The 24361-nt window shown below is 40.9% G+C and overlaps 2 protein-coding genes across 10 annotated transcripts in view, besides 1 other annotated feature; one reads left to right on the top strand and one right to left on the bottom strand.

The window, feature by feature from the left end:
- Window positions 1–24279, bottom strand: part of PM20D2 (peptidase M20 domain containing 2) — a 71626-nt gene extending 47347 nt beyond the window's left edge. For all 3 annotated transcript variants that reach the window (XM_047418220.1, XM_047418221.1, XM_011535481.4), the window contains exon 1: window positions 20549–24279. The gene's annotated coding sequence lies outside the window, so the exon portion shown is untranslated. The remainder of the gene's footprint in view (window positions 1–20548) is intronic.
- SRSF12 (serine and arginine rich splicing factor 12) lies at window positions 148–22260 on the top strand. 7 transcript variants are annotated; one of them, XM_047418223.1, is made up of 5 exons: window positions 148–396; window positions 11428–11538; window positions 12681–12792; window positions 12959–13100; window positions 19272–22260. In XM_047418223.1, exons 4-5 carry the CDS (start codon window positions 12970–12972, stop codon window positions 19639–19641), a joined length of 501 nt encoding a protein of 166 aa, XP_047274179.1. In that variant the 5' UTR covers window positions 148–396; window positions 11428–11538; window positions 12681–12792; window positions 12959–12969; the 3' UTR covers window positions 19642–22260. The 7 variants fall into 7 exon arrangements, with proteins under 7 accessions (XP_047274179.1, NP_001363826.1, NP_001363827.1 ...); NM_001376897.1 differs by having other exon boundaries at window positions 11195–11538; window positions 12669–12792; NM_001376898.1 differs by having other exon boundaries at window positions 11192–11538.
- Window positions 295–564: a silencer, noted in NCBI's record as "silent region_17385". NCBI's record gives its function as "represses an Ori minimal core promoter by ATAC-STARR-seq in GM12878 lymphoblastoid cells {active_cell/tissue: GM12878}" and the evidence as "EXISTENCE:reporter gene assay evidence [ECO:0000049][PMID:35858748]".
- Window positions 24280–24361: the final 82 nt, after the last annotated feature.

The raw sequence follows: 24361 nt of genomic DNA, 5'->3' as shown, positions 1-24361 counted from the left end.
CGCCGCCCCCTCCCCAAATCCCGTCGCACTCCAGGACCCCCCATACCCGGATCCCATAGGGCCTGGGAACGGCCGCGCTCCTGTCTTCGGAATTCCCGCGGCCCCTGGGCCGCGCCGGCGCCGCCCCCGCCCCCGGCCCGTGCGTCCAGGCTGGCGCCGCGCTGCGCCCCCTCTGCGCCGGCCTCTGCGGCTGCGCGCTGGCGGGGCTGAGGCCGAGGGGTGGGGGTCGCGCCGGGGGCCGGCGGAGCTCCTGTGGTGGTAGCAGCGGTAGCGGGAGACGGAGCGAGTCCAGCGGCCGCGGGCAGACCCGGAGGGAACGGAGGAAGCGGTCATGTCTCGCTACACGAGGCCCCCCAACACCTCCCTGTTCATCAGGAACGTCGCGGACGCCACCAGGTGAACGGCCGCGGCTGCAGGTTGGGGGCGCGGAGGAGGGGCGGGGTAACAGCCGCGCCGCGGAGCACGGCCGAGGCCCGGCGGAGGCTCGGGGGAGCTGCGCGGAGCCTCCCCGCGGGCCCAGGCTGCGCCACTTGGGGAGGTGTGAGCCCTCGGACTACTCCGCGGCCCAGGGCGGAACTCGCGCCTCCGCCCTCCCGGCCAGCTTTCAGCCCCGGCGCCGCGCACATCGTGTCCCGGGCCCGCGTCGCTTTCCGCGGTTCAGCACCGCAGCCGGCGGGCCGTGGGACACGGGGCGCCCCTCTCCCGAGCTCAGGTCGCTCCCCGCCGGGAGTCGGGAGGGTTTGCGCTCCAGCGAGTGCCCGCGTTTCAGCTCCTTTGTCGCCGTGCCCCGATAAAATCGCGCGCATCCAACCCTCCTAGATGGAGAGGAATTGGGGCTGGTGAGAACGTTTTGTACCATAATGCGTACTCGGGCCTTACAGTTTCTTTCCCCCAGTTCTGGTCTACTTACAGACGGTGCTGCTTGCATTTTATTCACACAATTTTATTCTGCATACAAAAAATAACTTCAATGAATGAGATCAGTGCGTTTTTCTTTAAAGTTCTGAGTCCAGTATTAACACCCTTTTTAAGGGCGTGAGTATAGGCTCACCTGGTTGATTCTGATGCCCCACCCCTCCGTTGAGAATTTTGTCTACAGAGTGTCTGAACACAGATACTAAGGAATGACTTTTTCATATAGCACTTCCTTCCTTAATGGAGCTGAAGAAATTGGGGGCGGGGGGAGAGGGAACGGTGTTAATAGACATTCTCATTTCACTGGGCTTCATTTACTTCCCCCCAGCCTTTCTACCTATGCAGTACTGTTTTATTGTACATAAGGGAGAGCGGAAACTAAGAGTTTTAATGATTTACCTGGGGCCAGAGAGGTATAGATACATGGAGCTCTTGACTCCATAGTCATCTGAGATGAGTATTATAATTTACCTTTGAGGAGTAAATAAACGTTAAGTATTTTTTATTTTTTAGTTTTTTTTTTTTTTTTAGACAAAGTCTCGCTCTTGTCCCCCAGGCTGGAGTACAATGGCCCGATCTTGGTTGGCTGCAACCTCTGCCTCCCGGGTTCAAGCGATTCTCCTGCCTCAGCATCCAAAGTAGATGGGATTACAGGCGTGTGCCACCACACCCGGCTAATTTTTATATTTTTAGTAGAGATGAGGTTTCATTATGTTGGCCAGGCTGATCTCCAACTCCTGACCTCAAGTGATCCGCCCAGCTCGGCCTCCCAAAGCGCTGAGATTACAGGCATGAGCCACCGTGCCCGGCCAAGTATTTTTTATTTGATCACCGCAAGTACATGTATCACAACTATATGTTGTGGTTAATATATCTTAGTTAACATCTAAAAGGTGCCTTGTTTACATTTCTTCTGTCAGCCTTTTTATCAATATATTACATAGAAAACACGAACATAATTTATGATTTGGGCAGAATTAAAAAACCTTGCAGTTGAACAGACAACTTGAAAATGGAATAAGCATCAAGCCTCTTCAGGGTGTCTGTAGAAAAATCAGAGGTTTCCAATTCTAATGGTTCACAGGGGCCAGCCGGGGTAATATAAACGAGTGAAGCTGCCAGCCTATAAGGCACAGTAGGATGGTGTGGACTATCAAATAGAAATAGAATAGCAAATAGAAAAGGAAATATGCCATCTAAAAGGTGCAGCATCTGCCTCTAGGCTCCAGCTGACAGCTGCCATGTAGACATCTGGACTTATTGTTGATATATCTTACTAGTTGTAAAGAGAAATCAGAAATCTGGATTTTGTATGTGTAATCTTAGTCTTTAGATGCATTAAGTTGAATCATATGAAAATCCCATTCGTGGCCGGGTGCGGTGGCTCATGCCTGTAATCACAGCACTTTGGGAGGCTGAGGCAGGCGGATCACGAGGTCAGGAGATGGAAACCATCCTGGCTAGCACGATGAAACCCCGTCTCTACTAAAAATAAAAAAATTAGACGGGCGTGGTGGCGGGTGCCTGTAGTCCCAGCTGCTCAGGAGGCTGAGGCAGGATAATGGTGTGAACCCGGGAGGCGGAGCTTGCAGTGAGCCAACATCGCGCCACTGCACTCCAGCCTGGGAGACAGAGCGAGGACTCCGTCTCAAAAAAAAAAAAAAAAAAAAAAGAAAGAAAAAAGAAAACCCCATTTGTAGATTTGAAAGCTGTAAAATATAAGGCTGGGCGCGGTGGCTCACGCCTGTAATCCCAGCACTTTAGGAGACCGAGTTCGGCGGATCACTTGAGGTGAGGGGTTCGAGACCAACCTGGCCTACCTGGTGAAACCCCGTCTGTACTAAAACACAAAAATTAGCCAGGTGTGGTGGCTGGCGCCTGTAATCCCAGCTACTCAGGAGACTGAGGCACGAGAATCGCTTGAACCCCAGAGGTGGAGGTTGGCAGTGAGCCGAGATCAGGCCACTGCACTCCAGCCTGGGCGACAGAGTGAGACTCTGTCTCAAAAAATAAATAAATAAAAGAAAGCTATAAAATGTAGCCTGGTGTATGACACCTGTAGTCCCAATTACTGGGAAAGCTGAGGTGGGAGCCCGGGAGGTCACTTGAGCCCGGGAGGTCAAGGTTACAGTGAACGATGATCACATCACTGTACTCCAGCCTGGGTGACAGAGAGACCTTTAGAGAGTCTAAAAAAATAAAAGCTGTGGCCGGGCGTGGTGGCTCACGCCTATAATCCCAGCACTTTGGGAGGCCGAGGTGGGCAGATCACGAAATTAGGAGTTTGAGACCAGCCTGGCCAACATGGTAAAACACCGTCTCTACTAAAGATACAAAAAATTCACCAGGCATGGTGGTGCGTGCCTGTGATCCCAGCTACTCGGGAGGCGGAGACAGGAGAATCGCTTGAACCCGGGAGGTGGAGGTTGCAGTGAGCCGAGATAGTACCATTGCACTCCAGCCTGGGCGACAGGGCGAGACTCTGTCTCAAAAACTAAAAAAATAAAAGCAGTAAAATATTGGCAATTTCATATTTATACGCATTTTAAAAATGTTTAAACGTCATGCAGGCCAAATAAAACACATCTGCAGGTGACACCTGATCTCTGATCTATGTACTTCATTCACCAGTGAGTGATTGAGACTGATAGTTGAGATTGACTGATTTCCTTTTCCATTTTTTCACTTTTTTTTTTTTTTAGCTTTGCCACTGGCAGACAATCAAAATCTACAAGATTATATTACATGAATGAAATCTCTAACATTTGTTGAATACTCACTGTGTACTAGGTGCCATACTAAAAACATTACATATATTAAATTTTCGCAGTAACCCTATAATGTATGGTGGTTTTTTTGTTTGTTTGTTTTATTTTGAGACAGAGTCTTGCTGTGTCAGCCAGGCTGGAGTGCAGTGGCACGATCTCGGCTCACTGCAACCTCCGCCTCCTGGGCTCAAGCAGTTCTCCTGCCTCAGCCTCCCGAGTAGCTGGGATTACAGATGTGTGCCACCATGCCTGGCTAATTTTTGTATTTTTAGTAGAGACGGGGTTTCATCATGTTGGCCAGGCTGGTCTCGAACTCTTGATGTCAGGTAATCCGCCCACCTTGGCCTCCCAAAGCACTGGGATTACAGGCATGAGCCACTGCGCCTGGCCGTATGTTCTTTGTTAACCCCATTTTACCGATGAGAAATCAACGTTTAGGTTAAGTATTTTGCCTAAGATCGAATAGCAGGTGAGTGATGATATGAAATTAGAATCATCACATGTAATCTGTATTAACCTTTTAGTACAAAGTAGTATACAGTATAAGTTAACTAGCAATGTGACATGTAGACACTTTTAAAATTAGCTTTAAAGATAGGGCACAGTGGCTCATGCCTGTAATCCCAGCACATTTGGAGGCTGAGGTGGGTAGATCACTTAAGCTCAGGAGTTTGAAACCAGCCAGGGAAACATAGCAAAACCCTGTCTCACCAAAAAATACAAAAATTAGCCAGGTGTGGTAGTGCGCACCTGTAGTTCAGCTATTTGAGAGGCTGACGTGGGAGGATCGCCTGAGCCCAGGTGGTCGAGGCTGCAGTGAGTCAAGATGGCACCACTGCACTCCGGGGGTGAGAGTGAGACTCTGTCTCAAAAATAAATAAATAAATAGGCTTTAACATTTAGTATGCTTATAAACAAAATCTTTGGGGCCTGGCACGGTGGCTCACATCTATAATCCCAGCACTTTGGGAGGCCGAGGCACGTGGATCACTTGAGGTCAGGAGTTCGAGATGAGCCTGGCTAACATAGTGAAGCTCCATCTCTACTAATAATAGAAAAAATTGGGCTGGGTGCGGTGGCTCACGCCTATAATCCCAGCACTTTGGGAGGCCAAAGTGGGCGGATCACGAGGTCAGGAGTTCGAGACCAGCCTGGCCAATATGGTGAAACCCTGTGTCTACTAAAAATATAAAAATTAGCTGGGCGTGGTGGCACTCGCCTGTAGTCCCAGCTACTAGGGAGGCTGAGGCAGAAGAATCGCATGAACCTGGGAGGCAGAGGTTGCAGTGAGCCAATACCGGCCACTGCACTCCAGCCTGGGTGACAGAGTGAAATTGTGTCTCAAAAAAAAATAAATCATTGGGATAAAATGTTAAATAAAACATATGTAAAATTATATATGCAGCATGATTTCAGTTACAGTCATGCATCAGTTAAGGACAGAGATAGGTTCTGACAAATCCATTTGGTGATTTTGTTGTTGTACAAACCCAAACCTACTACACAGTAAAGCCAGCTACACACCTAGGCTATGTGGTGTGGCCCGTTGCTTCTAGGCTACATACCTGTACAGCATGTTACAATACTGAATACCGCAGGCAATTTTAAGACATTTACCTACATGTATCTAAACATAGAAAAGACACTAAAAATATGGTGTAAAAGATTTTTTAAAAGGTACACCTGTCTAGGACAGCTTTGTTATAAGATTATGGGGCCACCATGATATATATGGTTCATCATTGACTGAAACATTGTTATGTGGTGCATAACTATATTAAAAAATGAAAAAAGGAAAAAGCTATATATGGAAAATGAGACTAGGGCCAGGCTCAGTGGCTTATGCTTGTAATCCCAGTGCTTTGGGAGGCCAAGGCAGGAGGATCCCTTGAGGACAGGAGTTCAAGGCCAGCCTGGGCAACATAGCAAGGCCTCATCTCTACCAAAAAAAAAAAGTTAGCCGGGCATGGTGATGCGTGCCTGTAGTCCTAGGTACTGGAGTTCAAGGTTGGAGCAAGTTATGATATCACCACTGCACTGCAGCCTGGGCAACAGAGCGAGACCCTGTCTCCAAAAAAAAAAAAAAAAGAAAGAAAAGAAAATGAGACTAGAAAGAAATTAATTTGGACAGTAGGACTTACTTTTCTTCTTCCTTTTTTCAAATATTTTTCAAATTTTATTTACTAAGAATGTTTTAAAACAAAACAAATTTTTAAAAAATTAAAAGCAGAAGACACTAAAAGGCTTTGTGAATTAGTGTAAAATTTGACAGAAATGAAATTGAACACAAGAACTAAAGAAATTTTAAAAATAAGTTTTAGGCCGGGAGAGGTGGCTCATGCCTGTAATTCCAGCACTTTGGGAGGCCGAGGCGGGCGGTTCACCTGAGGATCCCAGCTACTCGGCAGGCTGAGTCATGAGAATCTCTTGAACCGGGGAGGAGGAGGTTGCAGTGAGCCGAGATCACGCCCTTGCACTCCAGCCTGGGCAACAGAGTGAGGCTCGGTCTCAAAATAAATAGTTTTAAAATTTGTGTTATGTTTCTTTTCACTGGTGAAACAAGATGTAGCTTAGGAAAAATAATATCTTTGCTTTTGTACTGCATAAAGGAATAATTTTTTAATGTTAAATATAGTGTATTAATGGAACTCCAGTCTAGGTGACAGAGTGAGACCTGAGACCCTGTCTCCAAAAACAAAAACACAACAAAACGTGTGAGCAAACTAGGAATAGAAGAGAACTTCTTAACCTAATAAATGTCAGCTATAAAAAACATAGCTAACATCATACTTAATGATGAAAGACAATGCTTTCCTTATAAAATCAGGAAAAAGAAAAGATTGCCACTCACAACCGCCAACGTTTTATTGCAGGTCCTAACCAGTGCAACAAGGCAAGAAAAAAGATATAAAATACAAAAATTGGAAAGATAAAAGTAACCATTCTTAGGTGACATATTTGCTTACATAGAAAATACTAGGGAATGAACAAAAAAACTGCTAGAACTAATAAGTTTAGTAAGTTATGAGGATATAAGGTAAATTTACAAAAACTTTATTTCTATATATTAACAGCAAACAATTGAAAACAATGACAATTTTAAAAAACAGTTGCATTTACCATAGCATCAAAAGGCATACTTACTTAGGAAAACAGTTAACAAAAAATGTGCAGAACCTTTGCACCAAAAACTACAACATATTTTCAAGAGGAATTTTAAAAGCTAGCATAACAAAACCCCATCTCTACTAATAATAGAATAAACAAGGTGTGCTGGCACATGCCTGTAATCCCAGCTACTTGGGAGGTTGAGGCACGAGAATAGCTTGAACCTGGGAAGTGGAGGCTGCAGTGACCCGAGATTGTGCCACAGTACTCCAGTCTGGGTGACAAAGCAAGATTCCATCTCCAAAAAAAAAAAAAAAAGACAAGTCTCACCCTGTCTTCCCAGACTGGAGTGCAGTAGCATGATCATAGCTCAGTGCAGTCTCAAACTCCTGGGCTCAAGTGATTCTTCTTCCTCAGCCTCCTAAGTAGCTGGGATTATAGACACCACGCCCAGCTAATTTTTTTTTATTTTTTGTAGAGATGGGGGTCTCACTATGTTGCTCAGGCTGATCTTGAACTCCTGGGCTCAAGTAGTCCTCCCACCTTGGCCTCCCAAACTGCTGGTATTGCAGGTATCAGCCACCATGCCTGGGCAACAGTGGGAATTCTAACACATGTTTTTGGAAATGTAAGTTGGTTGGGCCACTCTGAAGAACATGTAGTGAAGCTAAGGTAGGCATACCCTCCAGCCTACCAATTTCTTTGCTAGTGATACTGAAGCAGGAGAATAGGGTCTGGAGGCAGGGAACCTAAGGCCGATTCACAGTGACTTCCTAGAACTGAATCAAAAGGAGAACTCCACCTCTCTACACCCAAGTAACAAAAGGATCAGAGGCTACTCCCTTTGCACTGTATTACAGATAAAAAATGGAAAGTACCTCTGACTGGTCCCCTCCTACAACCAATCAGACTGGTCCCAGGCCAAGTCTTCATGTGTAACTTTGTAGCTTTGCTTCAGCCTCTAATTGGTCGCCTCCCTCCACCAGACTGGTGGTGGGCCAAGTCTTCATTTACATAGGGTGTAACCGAGTAACCAGTGGGAAACCTTAGAGGGTATTTAAACCCTAGAAAATTCTGTAACCAATGCACTTGAGTGGCTTGCTTGAGCCTGCTCCCACTCTGTGGAGTATCTTTTCATTTCAATAAATCTGTGCTTTCATTGCTTCATTTTTTCATTGCTTTGTGCATTTTGTCCAATTCTTTGTTAAAAATGCCAAGAACCTGGAGGACTCATAGGCAAGACCCTCCATTGGTAACAGAAGGATATAATATTTCTTTAAAAATACTGAAAATTATGGCAAGTATGTCAAATACGGAGAAAATAATTTTTTTTTTTTGAGACAGAGTCTTGCTCTGTTGCCCAGGCTGGAGTGCAGTGGCATGATCTTGGCTCACTGCAAGCTCCGCCTCCTGGGTTCACACCATTCTCCTGCCTCAGCCTCCTGAGTAGCTGGGACTACAGGCGCCCGCCACCACGCCCAGTTAATTTTTTGTATTTTTAGTAGAGATGGGGTTTCACCCTCTTAGCCAAGATGGTCTCGATCTCCTGACCTCGTAATCCGCCCACCTCGGCCTCCCAAAGTGCTGGGATTACAAGCGTGAGCCACCGCGCCCGGCCAGAAAATAAATCTTGTTGGTAGATACATGGGTGTTTATTATTCTCTGTACTTTTTTGAATATTGAAGTAGATCATACCAAAAGTGCAAAAATAAAACAACAGCTAACAGGTGAGGGAGTGGAGACAGTGAATGGGAATTGGCTCTTTTGAAAAGACCTGTTCCATCTGACTCCCATCACCCTTGGCTTCCAGACTCCAGACCTCTGTGGCACACAGTGCTGCAGCCTCCTCTTTTATATTATCTATGATCCCTTTCCTCTTAGCCACTACATTTGGTTGATGGGATTGGTTGTCTCAGAAGACCTTCATTTGAATCCTAGCTCTACTACTGGCTGTGTAGATCTCTGGGCAAGGTAACTTCTCTCACCCTCAGTCTCCTTAACTCTTAAATGGTAACAGTAATGTATTCTTTTTTCATTGATAGGCAAATATATATTGAGTACCTACTGTGTGCCCAGCAGCTACATTAGGTACAGAGATATGCTGGTGAAGACACCTGCTTTAGCAGTGATTCTTAACCTTCAGTCTCAGAATTGCCTGTGAAGTCCTGAAAAAATTAAACATAACTGGGCCTCACTATGGAAAACACTAATTAGGTCCAGAATTAATGCATCGGGTTGGGGTGCCTCTGTCTGTAACATCCCTTCACAGATGATTACAGTACTCAGGAGAGGTTGAGAATCTTTATGCCAGTCTATGGTCTGTGGGAGCAGGAATTGTGTTTTTCTTGTTTCTCATTATATTCCTAGAGCCTGGCACATGGTAGGTGCTCAATAAGTATTTGCTTAATTCTGAATAAGTAAAAGAAAAAAGACATTGTCACTGTCCTCAGAAACTAATAGTAAAACATGTTCTATGAGTGTTAAATGAAATAAAGTATGTCATAATGTTGACTGAGCTACTGGCAAAAAGTAGATGCTTAGTCAATTTTTGTTGAATCTTATATGTAATTTCTAAATCCCCATCTCTAGCCTTAGTCACTGGCTTCTAATAATTATATTAATACACACTAATTAATATGCATATAATCACAATTTTCTGTTGCTTATAGAACTCTTATCAGTGTTCTACCATCACCTCAAATACTGCATTTCTAAACCTGAAAGTTGCTTCTTTTGCCTCTTTTCTTCCTCCTTGATCTAGCTCTCTTCTAATTTTTGTCACTGACACCATCTTTTTTCCATTTGTCCAAGCTAGAAGCTTCTTAGTCATCTTTGAATCTTTATTTCTCCCGAGCCACATTTTATGATCATAGCTTGATGCTGAATCCCTATGATAGCACCATGAAGCAGTAGGGTGTAGTGGTTAAGATGGACCAGTATGAGACTGAAAATTTGATTTCTAGCTTTGTCACTTGCTGGCTCAGTGAGCTTAGATAGGTTACTCTGTCTGTATCACCTGTAATCTGCCTGTATTACCTGTAAATAACCTGAAATTCTGTCTGTATCACCCATAATCTGTCTGTATCATCTGTAAATAACCACAGGGAAATTGTAAGAATTAAGTGGTTGTAAGGTGAACACTGGCTAACATATAAATGCACTGTAACTGTTAGCTATTATTGCTAAATATTTTGTCTCTTCAGTTAAATTGTAGCTCCATGAAGATGAATATCATGCTGTTTCTTTTTTTTGGTACCCCTTCTGAAGCACCTAATCGCACTAGAAGGCACATAAGCAGGCTCGAAATACCTGTCAGATTTGGGAATACAGTAGTTACTTTGTTTTATGTTTAATATTAAAACATCCATTTTTCTTTAAAGCCTGATAAATAATTTTAGGACTTCTTTAGAATCTAATTCTTGCTATCTGAAAACAAGATTAACATAAACATGAAATTAAAGTGAAGCAAAATGAATGTGTTCTTAGTGAAACAATTACTTATTAGGTCTTATAATAACTTTCAGAGGTGGATATGCTGGGTCAGTGTTTCTGGAAATTAAGCATAACAACCACCTGGAGTGCTTGTAAAGATACAGATTTCCAGCCTCTAATCCATACTTCCTGAATCAGAACCTCCAAGAGAGGTCTGAGAATCTAGGGAGGTTTTTTTCGTGTTTTCTTTTTTTTTGAGACAGGGTCTCACTCTGTCACCCAGGCTGGATGGAGTGCAGTGGTGTGATCTTGGCTCACTGCAGCCTCAACCTCCCCATGCTCACTCAGGTGATTCTCCCGCCTCAGCCTCCCGAGTAGCTGGGACTACAGGCACACGCTACCACACCTGGCTGATTTTTGTATTTTTTTGTAGAGACGGGGTTTCACCATGTTGCCCAGGCTGGTCTTGAACTCCTGGGTTCAAGTGATCCACATACCTTGGTCCCCCAAAGTGCTGGGATTACAGGTGTGAGCCACCACACCTGGCCTGAGAATGTTTTTTTCCTTTCTTTTTTCCCTTTCTTTCAAAACCTTGCATGATTCTTACAAAAAACAATTTTAGATAATGCTGGTCTAGATGATGTTCTTTCTTTTGAAGGTTTCAAGTGGATTTCTGTAGGCAAAATATTTTAATCCAGCTATTCATATTTCTTTGCCTTATTTCTAAAACACTTCAGGCCTGAGGACTTGCGCCGTGAGTTTGGTCGATATGGCCCTATAGTAGACGTTTACATTCCACTTGACTTCTACACTCGCCGCCCAAGAGGATTTGCTTATGTTCAATATCCTTTATTTTATTGTGTGCATGTGAATATACTGTATATGCGTGCTTATACATATATGTATTCAGTAGCATATGTTATGAGATTAATATTGCCTAATTAAATGTGTTTATTTCTTTATCTCAGAAGATCTAAAGCAGTCCACAGTAGCTGGCAAGCACCCCCCAGTTTGAACCAACCTGTTAGCTAGAATCCAAGCATAAACCCAGCAGGCGAGACAAAAGGCACCTAAAGTTCAAGCATCAAGGAGTAAAGAGGGAGGGTGGACACAGATATAAAGACCTGGAAGAGGGGAAGTCTTTATCAAGCAAAAGACAAAGCCAACACCAGGTTGAGACTTCGGCTTTCCTACATTTACTCAGAGTTCCAGAGTCAAAGCCAAGTCTGATTTTGTTGGTTCTGCGTCTCTTATAAAGTCCATCTTGCAAGCCTTAAAGAGTAAAGGTCAAGGTTCAAGATCAAGTGACATTGAGGTAATTGCCAGTCTCGTTTTATATTGTGTATCTTGAGCTTTTTCTGTTTGTTATTTTTTTAATTAAACCAGTGAACAACCTCCTAAAAAAAGTTACTTATTTTTATATAGCTAATTTCCATTATAGCTAGGTTTAATATTATATAATTTATATACATAAGGAAGTTTAGTGGGATATTACAAACCAGTATATGTAATTCCAGATATTTACAGATTGCTTTTATGTTTCTTTTATATTTATATCCCAAGTAGTAAAAACATAAATGTTTGGCTGGGTGCGGTGGCTCATGCCTGTAATCCCAGCACTTTGGGAGGCTGAGGCGGGTGGATCACCTCAGGTCAGGAGTTTGAGACCAGCCTGACCAACATGGTGAAACCCCGTGTCTACTAAAAATACAAAAATTAGCCGGGTGTGGTGCCGGGCACCTGTAGTCCCAGCTACTTGGAAGGCTGAGGCGGGAGAATCTCTTGAACCTGGGCTTACAGTGAGCTGAGATCGCGCCATTGCACTCCAGCCTGGGTGACAAGAGGGAAACTCCATCTCAAAAACAGAAAAAAACATAAACATTTAAAGTGGTAGGTTCAAAAGTAGATACCATTTTTAAAGCACTAAATCCGGTTTTGTTTTAACTCACTTGTATATGTGCAGTTTTGTTTATAAGTAATCTCTCTTAAATGTCAAATTTAAAATTAAGCCTTTTAATGAAAGAGTAATTTTAATTTCAGAATAAAGGCTTCTGCATGCTGATATTCAGTGAAAAATCTGATGGATCCTTTATCTGAAAGAAGGGAGTGAGTCCTAAACAGTTTGTAATTTTATAATGCTAGCCAAATTTGGACTTTTTTTTTGTTTTTCTTGTTTTCAAATTATACATGCATACTGCAGCCACACTATTGTAGACACTAAAAGTACAGTTACATGTTTGTTTTGTTCTTTTTATTTTTAGACTCACTCTTCTAAACATAATGGGTCATTTGTTTTCATGAGAAAAAGTGAAAGTTTTTTTTCTGATTATTCATATTATATTGAAGATGTGAGCTTAATAACTTGAACTTGATTTTCCTATTAATTTCATTTCACATGTAAATAATGCTTTTAAAATATGTTTACTTGATATCTCATGTTCAAAGTGTCCTTAACAGCTAGTCATATTTGAAGATGTTCGAGATGCTGAAGATGCTCTTTATAACCTCAATAGAAAGTGGGTATGTGGCCGTCAGATTGAAATACAGTTTGCACAAGGTGATCGCAAAAGTAAGTGTGACTGAATGCTAGATTTTATTTATTCAGCAGAATGAGTTTCAGTGATGACTGATTTTTTAATTTAAAATTCTTTCAGTAAATGATTGCTAGTTGAGTGGTTGTTACTGTGGTGTTCAGGTAACGAATTATGTCATAAGTCTTGTTCTTTATGTTCCAGCACCAGGCCAAATGAAATCAAAAGAACGTCATCCTTGTTCTCCAAGTGATCACAGGAGATCAAGAAGCCCCAGCCAAAGAAGAACTCGAAGTAGAAGTTCTTCATGGGGAAGAAATAGGAGGCGGTCAGACAGCCTTAAAGAGTGAGTATAAGAGGACTGAAAATTTCATTTTCTACTTTTTCTGGGAAATAGATATATATTTTTTTGATAGGGTCTCATTGTTTCCCAGGCTGGAGTGCAGTAGTGTGCGATCATGGCCCACTGTAGACTTGACCTCCTAGACTCAAGCAATTTTCTCACCTCAGCCTCCCAAGTAGCGGGTACTACAGGTGTGCACCACCACACTGGGCTAATTTTTTTAATTTTTTGTAGAGATTGGAGGTCTCGCTATGTTGCCCAGGCTGGTCTTAAATTCCTGGGCTCAAGTGTTCCTCCCACCTCAGGCTCCCAAAGTGCTAGGATTACAGGTGTGAGCCACTGCACCCAGCCTGGAAAATATTTTAAAGTTTTTATAAACAGTCCACCTTAGTCATTTTGCTTAATGTACAAACATAATCAATTTTTGTTAAAAGATAACACTCTTCTCTATTTATCATATATTGTTATTTAACTTGGGTTTATGGGATTAATTCTTCTGTTAAAGTTACAGACTTAACTTTATCTTTTTACATGAGAAGATAATATATAGTGAGCAGAAAAAAAAAGTAAAAAAAAATACATACTCAGCCGCGTGCAGTGGCTCACACTTATGATCCCAGCACTTTGAGAGGCTGAGGTGGGCAGATCTCGAGGTCAGGAGTTCAAGACCAAACTGACCAACATGATGAAACCCCGCCTCTACTAAAAATACAAAAATTAGCTGGGTGTGGTAGCCACGCACCTGTAATCCCAGCTACTCAGGAGGTTGAGGCAGGAGAATCACTTGAACCTGGGAGGCGGAGGTTGCAGTGAGCTGAGATCACGCCATTGCACTCCAGCCTGAGCGACAGAGCGAGACTCCGTCTCAAAACAAAAAGCAAAAAAAAAAAAAAAAAAAGGTGATGAGTTTTAGATAAATAAAATTTTCCTAAATGTGCCCAACAGTTTGTAATCTTCAACTTTAAAAATGTTTAAATGTGTAAGAAATACAATAAAATGTCCAGGTGCCATAATCTCAGCACTTTGGGAGGCTGAGGTGGGAGTATCACTTGAGGCCAGGAGTTTGAGACTAGCCTGGCCAACATGGTGAGACTCCGTCTCTCCAAAAAAAAAAAAAAAAAAAAAAAAAAGAAATATAATAAAATCCCTTGTGAAAGGTGGTTGACTAAAGTTAATGTAAATCAATTTACTTATAAAAGATAAGTTATCAAGAATAAATTCCAAGTATGGCAGTATTGAAGAAGACATATTAAATAGTAATTTGGGGGCAGGGGAAAAGATATTTTCAAGTTATTTATTTTGCTAGCCAGGAGTTTATTTCTATTAGAATAATAGTGAATCACAACAGAAATTAATTATATGGACCAGGTGCAGTGGCTCACGCCTGTAATCCCAGCACTTTGGGAGGCCAAGGCGGGTGGATTACTTGAGGTCAGGAGTTCAAGACCATCCTGAGCAATATGGTGAAATCCTGTCTCTACTAAAAATTCAGGCCAGGCGCAGTGGCTTACGCCTGTAATCCCAGCACTTTGGGAGGCCAGGGCGGGGGCGGATCACCTGAGGTCAGGAGTTCGAGACCAGTCTGGCCAACATGGCGAAACCCCGTGTCTACTAAAAATACAAAAATTAGGTGGGTGTGGTGGCACAGGCCTGTAATCCCAGCTACTTGGGAGGCTGAGGCAGGAGAATCGCTTGAACCTGGGAGGCAGAGGTTGCAGTGAGCTGAGATCACGCCACTGCTCTCCAGCCTGGGTGACAAAGCGAGACTCTGTCTCAAAAAAAAAAAAAAAGAATTTAAATTGATTGTTTCTAAATGCATTACAGCCTTAGTGAACCAGTTTTTTTCTCTTGCTTGATTTAAATAAGGTGGATATTCACATCATTTTCTGCCTTCTAGTGGAAGTAAAGTATAATACTTGACTGTCTCAAATCATCCTGGAGTATCAGGGATGGAAGGACCACATCTTTCAGGGCAATGCTATTCTGCTTTGTACTTGTTATAAGACCATTGCTTAACCTCCCTGACACCAGTTTTTCTCATTTTAAAAACTGTCTTATGGCCAGGTGCAGTGGCTCACACCTGTGATCCCAGCACTCTGGGAGGCCAGGGTGAGATCACTTGAGTCCAGGAATTTGAGAGACCAGCCTGGGCAACATAGTGAGACCCCCATGTCTACAAAAACTAAAAAAAATTAGCCACGTGTGGTGGCACACACCTGTTCCAGCTACTGGGAGGGAGGGAGAGGGTGGACTGAGGTGTGAGGACTCCTTGAGCCCAGTAGGTCAAGGCTGCAGTGAGCCATGATTGCACCACTGCACTCCAACCTGGGCAACAGAGGAAGACTCTGTCTCACAACAAATAAATAAATAAATTATTAAAATGTAAAAAAAGGTATTCTGTAAATCTTTGTTAACTTTATATCAAGGAATGTGTATGTTAGAACTCTAAATGTTCCTGAACAGTGTTAAAATTGCTCCTCAACTCCCTTTTCTTTAGTCCAAATATATTATAGCGTCCTTCTTTTACTATGTTAGGATTTTTTTTCAAGGACATTTTCTTCATTTTGCTTCCTACAGCTGTCTACAAAATGAATGAAATTTAATAATTTCTAAAAGACTGTGAATTTATTCCAGAATATATTCTACATCAATGTATTTTCAGTATAAATATATAATAAAAAATTCAAGAGAGGCCAGGTGCAGTGGCTCATGCCTGTCATCTCAGCACTTTGGGAGGCTGAGGCAGGTGACTTGAGGTCAGACATGCCTGGCCAACATGGCGAAACCCCATCTCTACTAAAAATACAAAAATTAGCCAGGTATGGTGGCACGTGCCTGTAATCCCAGCTACTTGGGAGGTTGAGGCAGGAGAATCGCTTGAACCCGGGAGACAGAGGTTGCAGTGAGCCAAGCTCGCCCCACTGCACTCCAGCCTGAGTGACAGAGCAAGACTCTGTCTCAGAAACAAACAAACAAAACCAAAAATTGAAGAGGCTCTACATGGTGTTATCATTCTCCAAAGAAAGCTTTTTAAATTTCTTCATCTAGTTCAATGTTACTATCTAGTATCATTTTTCTTCAGTCTAAAGAATATTTAGTATTTCTTTTTTTCCTCTTTCAGCTCACCGAGAAGTACCAGGGCAGTGAATATTTAGTATTTCTTATAGTACACATCTGCTGATAGTGAATTATCTCAGCTTTTGTCTGAAAACATCTTTATTTAAAATTCATTTGTGAGAAATATTTTTGCTGAGGATAGAATTCTATATTGGCAGTGATTTTATTTTTCTCTTTAAAAATGTCATTCCATTGTTTTTCTGATACCCATAGTGAGTTGTCAGTCTTGTGGTTGCTCCTTTGAAAGAAATTTGTCTTTCATTCTCTGGCAAGGTTTTCAGATTTATTTTTATTTTTATTTTTTTTTGAGACAGAGTCTCACTCTGTCACCTGGGCTGGAGTGCAGTGGCACAATCTCGGCTCACTACAACCTCCGCCTCCCAGATTCAAGCGATTCTCCTGCCTCAGCCTCCCGCCACCACACCCAGCTAATTTTTGTATTTTTAGTAGAGGCGGAGTTTCTCCATGTTGGCCAGGCTGGTCTGGAACTCCTGACCTCAGGTGATCCACCTGCCTCAGCCTCCCAAAGTGCTGGGATGACAGGCATGAGCCACCGCACCCGGCCGGTTTTCAGATTTTTTCTTTGACTTTGGTTTTCATCAGTTTCACTGTGATGTGCCCAGTGTAGTTTTCTTTGCCTATGTGGGGTTTATTGAGCTTTTTGAAATTGTGAGTTAATGCTTTTTGTTAGTTTTGTAAAATTCTATGCTATTATCTCTTCAAATATTGCTTCTGCCTTATTCAGTCTTTCCTCTGGCTTGTGTGACTGTATGCTATACATCTGCTGTGTTCTTTTAGGGATTTCTTAAAATTCCTTTTCTCACACTGTATTTCGGTAGGATGTTTTTCTAATGATCTTTTAGTTAACTATTTCTTTTCTTTTTTTTTTTTTTTTGTCTTGGAGGTTTTCTCTTGTTGCCCAGGTTGGGGTGCAATGGCACGATCTTGGCTCACTGCAACCTCTGCCTCCCAGGTTCAAGTGATTGATTCTCTTGCCTCAGCCTCCTAAGTAGCTGGGATTATAGGCATGCACCACCATGCCAGGCTAATTTTTGTATTTTTAGTAGAGATGGGGTTTCACCATGTTAGTCAGGCTGGTCTTGAACTCCTGACCTCAGGTGATCCACTCGCCTTGGCCTCCCAAAGTGGGATTACAGGCATGAGCCACTGCACCCAGTCTAGTTCATTATTTCTTCTGCTATATCTAGATTGCTGTTAAGACCATCTAATGACTTTTTAATTTCAGATATCATATATTTTTAGTTTTAAATGTCTATTTGTTTCTTTTTATAGATTGTAGTTTTCCACTGAACGATCTTTTTATCTGTTTTGTCTTTTCCTCTTATTTTCTTAAATATATTACTCATAGTAATTTTTTAAATTCCTGTTTGATGATGCCAATATCCAAATCACTTTGGGAATGATTCTTTGCCTTTTATTTTCCTTAGTTTTTAGTTATTCTTGCCTGTTTTTTTTTTTTTTAACATAACATGTGGACATGGACAAAAAATTATAGAGGCTCTGCATGACATTATCATTCTCCAAAGACAGTTTTCTTCTGGTAGACAGAGTACTGGCAGATCACTTTGATCTTAAGGCTTGGTTTTGGGTGTTGTTAAAGCTGCTTGTTTTGGCTTTGAATTTATTCCTAGGGCATGGCCCTTACCTCTAGATTGTAGCCCTTCTGGGTTGTTACCTAATGTTCCTCATTGACCTTTTGGGAGTTTGAACTCTAATCTCTCTCTCAGCACTGTGTGTCTGATAAAAATTTCAGCGCAGTTCTTGAATTTCTGAATTCCGGTTTTTTGCTGGTCCCTTGGAATCTCTTCCATACACACACAACTTAGAAGATGGCCAGTGATTTAAGGATAATTTGTAGGCAAATTTTAGAGGTACTTTTTGGTCTCTAATTCACTCTTCTCTAGAGTTTTTGCCTCTCGTGTCCCACCCATTTTGGTAGCCCTGAATTAACTTTTCTCTCTTCAGCTTAGTCAAATAGCCATTTTCTGGTTGGGCTCAACTCCTCCATGCTGTCATTTGAAAAATGGTCTTAGTAAAAGAGCCAAGGCTTGTAATCCCTCAGGTTCTTCCTGCTTGTGTTGATTATCCTCCAGTGCCTTCGAACAGTTGTTTTATAAATGTTGTGTAGCTTTTCAATATAGTTGTTTTCGGCTGGGTGTGGTAGCTCACGCCTGTAATCCCAGCACTTTAGGAGGCCGAGGCAGGGGGATAACCTGAGGTCGGGAGATTGAGACCAGCCTGACCAACATGGAGAAATCCCATCTCTACTGAAAATACAAAGTTAGCTGGGCGTGGTGGCGCATGCCTGTAATCCCAGCTACTCTGGAGGCTGAGAGAGAAGAATTGCTCAAACCTGGGAGGCGGAGGTTGCGGTGAGCTGAGATCGTGCCATTGCACTCTAGCCTGGGCAACAAGAGCGAAACTCCGTCTCAAAAAAAAAAAAAACATGTATGTGTGTGTGTGTGTGTATATATATATACACACATATATATATACACACACATATATATATACACACACATATATACACACATATATATGTGTATATATATACACACATATATATATGTATATATATATGGAGAGAGAGAGAGAGAGCTGTTTTCTATGGGAAGATTAGTCTAATACAAGCTGTTCTGTCATGGCAGGACCCAAAAGTCCTACATCTAGATTTTTATTTTTATAAGCATTATTTGAACTGTAAATAATTGATTTTTTTAATCTTTTTTTCTTCAGATTTTTGTACCTCTTAAGAGCTGTATAACTCAGACCAAATATGCAGTGTATTTTTCAGAACTGATCCCTATATGTCTAGCAAAGTAAAAATTTTTGGCCATATATTCTAGTATAACAAATATTACAAACTTGTTACTTATGTTTGAACCAAAAGCATGCATAATAAAATGAGAAATTTTTTTAGCTTATCTAGTAAAAATATAACTAATGTTATGTAAAGTATGTAAGTTCCTGAAAGTGTTATTTCCTGATCTCTTATTTTGTGTGAAATATATGCTCTAACATTATGGATGTTTGCAGGTCTCGACACAGGCGATTTTCTTATAGCCAGTCTAAATCTCGTTCCAAATCATTACCAAGGCGGTCTACCTCAGCAAGGCAGTCAAGAACTCCAAGAAGGAATTTTGGCTCTAGAGGACGGTCAAGGTCCAAGTCCTTACAAAAGAGGTCCAAGTCAATAGGAAAATCACAGTCAAGTTCACCTCAAAAGCAGACTAGCTCAGGAACAAAATCAAGATCACATGGAAGACATTCTGACTCAATAGCAAGATCCCCGTGTAAATCTCCCAAAGGGTATACCAATTCTGAAACTAAAGTACAAACAGCAAAGCATTCTCATTTTCGGTCACATTCCAGATCTCGAAGTTATCGTCATAAAAACAGTTGGTGAACAGCAACAGAAAGAGCACCACGCCGTCTTTAATATAAGTTATTAAACTCTCATTATGTTAAATAAAAATTCTTTAAGGCATACAGAAAATGCGAGTTGATATTAGTTACTTTGGGCATATGGAAGAAATAAAATCTCTAGCTTTGGATTAATAAAAATTTGGTCTCCATTTAAAGGGCCCACACTACAAATTATGATTTGTCTAATGTCACCATTTTATGGACCATTTTTTATTTACATTGTGGCAGAAGGGTACTTTTCAAGGGAAATGAGTAAACTGGAACTAATTTTTAAAATTCTACTTGCATAGTATTAGTACTATTAATAATACCTTTTACACAAATATTTTTGACTTTAAAGCACTTTCATGTAAAAAGTAACTATGACTGTATAATTGCATAGAGCAGACTTAAGCTGTTTGACACCTATGTCTCTTTTGTGTCTTCTGTTTAAACTTGGGCCAATTCCTGGTGGATATTAGTTCATATTACAAAATTCTGATGTTCCAAAAAGTAGAATATATATAGAGATCAAACATTCAAAAGATACATTCTCTCCTAAGCTCAAAGGTTATATTTTTATTGGGTAGAACAGTATAGGTAAGTTGACATGAAATTGCATCCTGCACCATGACCACATTAGTAATATCAGAACTTTTGAGAAATACTGGATTTTGAATGGTTTGAGACTAATTCTTTAAAAATTAGGCTGAGCAACACTCACAATCCAAAAATATTCATATTAAGACTTACACATTTGAAGAATGGTACATTTTGTATAAAATCATATTTGATACCATTATTTCCACATACCTACTTTTCATCTGTTGCTTAATTTTTTCTTTTTAGAGTTCTTGCTCAACTTTATATGGAACAAGTCTTATTATTTTTGAAAGAGTGTTTAGTACCTTGTATTAAGAAACTTGGCCAAGCGTGGTGGTTCACTCCTGTAATCCCAGCACTTTGGGAGGTCGAGGCGGGCAGATTGCTTGAGGCCAGGAGATTGAGACCAGCCTGGGCAACATGGTGAAATCCTGTCTCTAAAATTTAAAAAAAAGAAGAAGAAGAAACTCGAGACTACATCTTCAAAAAACAACTTTGCAGTATTTGAATTTTACATTATACTGCCCTTCATTTCTGACAGCCAAATAACTTTATTGATATTTATTGCTTTTGTAGTTGTTATAACTAATAATTTCTTTGAAAATGTGTTGTAGTTTATGTTTTTCAAAGGGTTTTGGTAGTGTTTGTGATAGAATGGTTTTGCATATGATTATTATAGGGGATATATTTATAGAGCTCTACTTGTATACTTTGTGACTTACATTATGAAAACTTCAAAGTTCTCAATCCATACAGTTAGTATTTGTATCCAGAGTGTTTAAGAAAAAAATCTGTCTTATATTTTTAGTATATAGGAGCCAGTGTTGCTTCTATTTGTTTTGAATACAAATTCCAGTTTTCTTTGCATATTAGATCCCATATGTAAGAAACAACCTTAAACAATAATTTGTATGCTGGTAATATTTGGACAAGTGCCATAAATTAATGTATATTGTACTTTCTGAATAGATTTTCTCTAATCATAGCAAAATTTATTTCAAAACTACAACTCTTTGAATTATTCCGCTATAATAAAATTTAGTTATAAAATTATGTGGCACTACTGAAAATCTAAAGGATAATCTGAAGAATGAGTAAGACAGATATTGATAGAAATTTTTAGTATTTTCAGAATGTTTGGGTTCATACACATAAGTGAAATCATTTTAAAAACTAGGGGCTGGGCACAGTGGCTCACACCAGTAATCCTAGCACTTTGGGAGGCCAAGGCAGGAGGATTGCTTGAGCCCAGGAGTTTGAGACCAGCCTGGGCAACATAGCAAGACCCCTTTATCTATAAAAATAATAATAACTAGGTACCATTGTGAAAAATAATAACTAGGGATTGATTATAGTATCTTTACTCTGTATTCACAAATCTCTGTATTCCTGAACATATTTAATCCTTTGATTTACCTCTGACTAGGTTTGTCATTGTAATCCCTGGGCTGCTTAGGAGGATACCATTTGGTTTGATGAAAAAGCTGGAATGATAATAGCTCAAACTCTTTTGAGCATTTAGTACATGCTTGGCACTGTTCTATATGTCTTAAGTTATTCACTCTTGTATTTAACCATCAACACTCTTATGAGGTAAATATCCCGCAATTACTTTTGCGCCAACCTAGTACCACTACAGACAAGGAAACAGATGCAGAGAGGCTAAGTTACAAGGGCACACAGCCATAAACTTTGGATCTGTGGAGTGACTGGGCTTCAGAGTCCTCTTCCTGACTGCTGTTCCTATGTCTTTTGCAAAGAGAAGTCTTTGACAGGTATATGCTTTATTAAAATCATGTTTAGAAAGAAATGAGAGAATAGAATTAGAAAAAGGAATGACTGTAGGCTTCGATGAAAATGACTTTTGTGACTAGGTGAAAATTGTTTGGCTGGGTATCCTGGAAAATTGTCTTCTGGGAATATCTATATTCCAGGGTTCACTTTTGTCATAGAATTGTTTCTTGGCCCATTTAAGAGAGATACTTTGTTTATTAATAAATCAAACGTTTTAATTTTAGACATCTGTGATCAGTTCTTTTAAAGAGACTATATTTATTTAAGTACTTCCCAAGTTTAGTGCAGGGGTACTACCTACCATTTATTCAGGATCATAGAGGATAAGTTAGGGTCAAAGAAAATAGAGACTGCCATGACAGCGGCTTGCTTGCTTTCTCCCCAGGAATAATGCACAAATAATTTATAGCAGCTGATATTTTTCGGTGTTAACAGATAATAGGGGAATTTGCTGAAATTTTTATTTGGAGCCTCGGATTTAATTTTAGGCCACTGGGCTAATTTATTTTTAAATGTAAATTAATTCCAGTACTTTATTTGTAAAGTTTACTTGAGATCTAACTGTTCTAAGACATGCTGTTGCATTACAAATAAGAATTGCTGCATTTATTTTGATCCCATTGCCAGAGGCAAAATTAGTCAAAATTTAAAGGTATGTAGAAATACTTTTGTAATCCTTCTAAACTACATTAAATTTCTGGCTGACTGGTGGCTCACACCTGCAGTCTCAGCACTTTGGGAGGCTGAGGTTGGCAGATCAACATGGTGAAAGCAGGTCTCTACTAAAAAATACCAAAAAAAATTAGCCGGGCGTGGTGGCGCATGCTACTCAGGAGGCTGAGGCGCGAGAATCTCTTGAACCTGGAAGGTGGAGTTTGCAGAGAGCCGAGATGGTGTCACTATACTCAAGCCTGGGCTACAGAGTAAGACACTGTCTCAAAAATAAATAAAATTATAATTTCTTAGATTTAAAAATTAGATTTGTTTTCCAAAGACAGGGTAGTAGAATATGTAGGGTACTTGTATAGATAGATATATGTTACTTAATGCAGTACTGTCTGGTGCAGGGTATCTTCACGTGGCATAATAGACCCAGAGCTTCAGGTCTAGGCTCTGTAAAGCGAAATGCCAAACTACTGTGTGTGCATTTCTCGAAAGAAAGGTGATGTAGTTTTATACAATTTTGAAACAAGTCCATGACTCCCAAGGGTTTAAGGACCAATGGTTCAGTGAGACATTTACAGATTTTGAAGTCAGAATTCAGTTTGAATTCTATACACATTTACTAGCTATGCAACCTTGGACAAGTTACCTAACATCTGTGAGCCTCAGTTTCTTTACCTGTAAAATGATATATTTGCCCCATTGGGTTGTTAGGGTTAAAAAAAAAAAAAAAAAAAGATGCGTAGCAGAATGCCGAGTACCTGACAGGCATTCAAATGTCAATTTCTTCTTTCATTTTTCTTATTTAAATATTTAGAAAACATTTCCTAGTACTAAATGTGGATTATGCACCTTAGCATTTAAATCACTCCCTGGATGAAAATAGGATATTGAGGATACCCTAGGTATATGTTTGGTTCACATAATTCAAAACACCATACTCAACCTACATCTGTTTATAAACTAGTAAATAGGTTACAAATTAAAATATCTAGGCTGGGTGCAGTGGCTCGTGCCTGTAATCCCAGCACTTTGGGAGGTTCCGGGGGGTGGGGCAGATCATTTGAGGCCAGGGGTTCGAGACCAGCCTGGCCAACATAGTGAAATCCCGTTTCTACTTAAAATACAAAAATTAGCCAGCTGTGGTGGCACACCCTGTAATCCCAGCTACTCAGGAGGCTGAGGCAGAAGAATCGCTTGAAACTGGGAGACAGGTTGCAGTGAACCAAGATGGTGCCACTGCACTCCAGCCTGGGCAACAGAGTGACTCTTGTCTCAAAAAATAAAAAAAAATAAAGAGGCCGGTGCGGTGGCTGATGCCTGTAATCCCAGCACTTTGGTAGGCTGAGGCGAGCAGATCGCTTGAGGTCAGGAGTTCGAGACCAGCATGGCCAACATGGTGAAACCCTGTCTCTACTAAAATTACAAAAATTAGCCAGGCATGGTGGTGGGCACTTGTAATCCCAGACACTCAGGAGGCTGAGGCAGGAAAGTCACTTGAACTTGGGAGGCAGAGGCTGCAGTGAGCCAAGATCACTCAACTGCACTCCCGCTTAGGCAACAGAGTGAGACTCCATCTCAAAAAAAAAAAAAAAAAAAAAAAAAAAAAAATCTTACTGTGTGTCAGGTTTCAGGTTCTTTTAGAATGTTGGTAGATTAAA

This window comes from Homo sapiens, chromosome 6 (assembly GCF_000001405.40).
Source record: "Homo sapiens chromosome 6, GRCh38.p14 Primary Assembly".
Taxonomy (NCBI): domain Eukaryota; kingdom Metazoa; phylum Chordata; class Mammalia; order Primates; family Hominidae; genus Homo; species Homo sapiens.
The sequence above is the reverse complement of the archived record's forward strand: the minus strand, read 5'-3'. Positions and strand labels throughout refer to the sequence as shown.

Excerpts from the sequence above, each read along its gene's own strand:
- SRSF12 (NM_080743.5), top strand. The coding sequence starts at position 332 with ATGTCTCGCTACACGAGGCCCCCCAACACCTCCCTGTTCATCAGGAAC. Across the intron at positions 397-10,960 it reads AACGTCGCGGACGCCACCAG|GCCTGAGGACTTGCGCCGTG; the intron begins GTGAACGGCCGC and ends AAAACACTTCAG. Across the intron at positions 12,793-12,958 it reads TGCACAAGGTGATCGCAAAA|CACCAGGCCAAATGAAATCA; the intron begins GTAAGTGTGACT and ends TTTATGTTCCAG.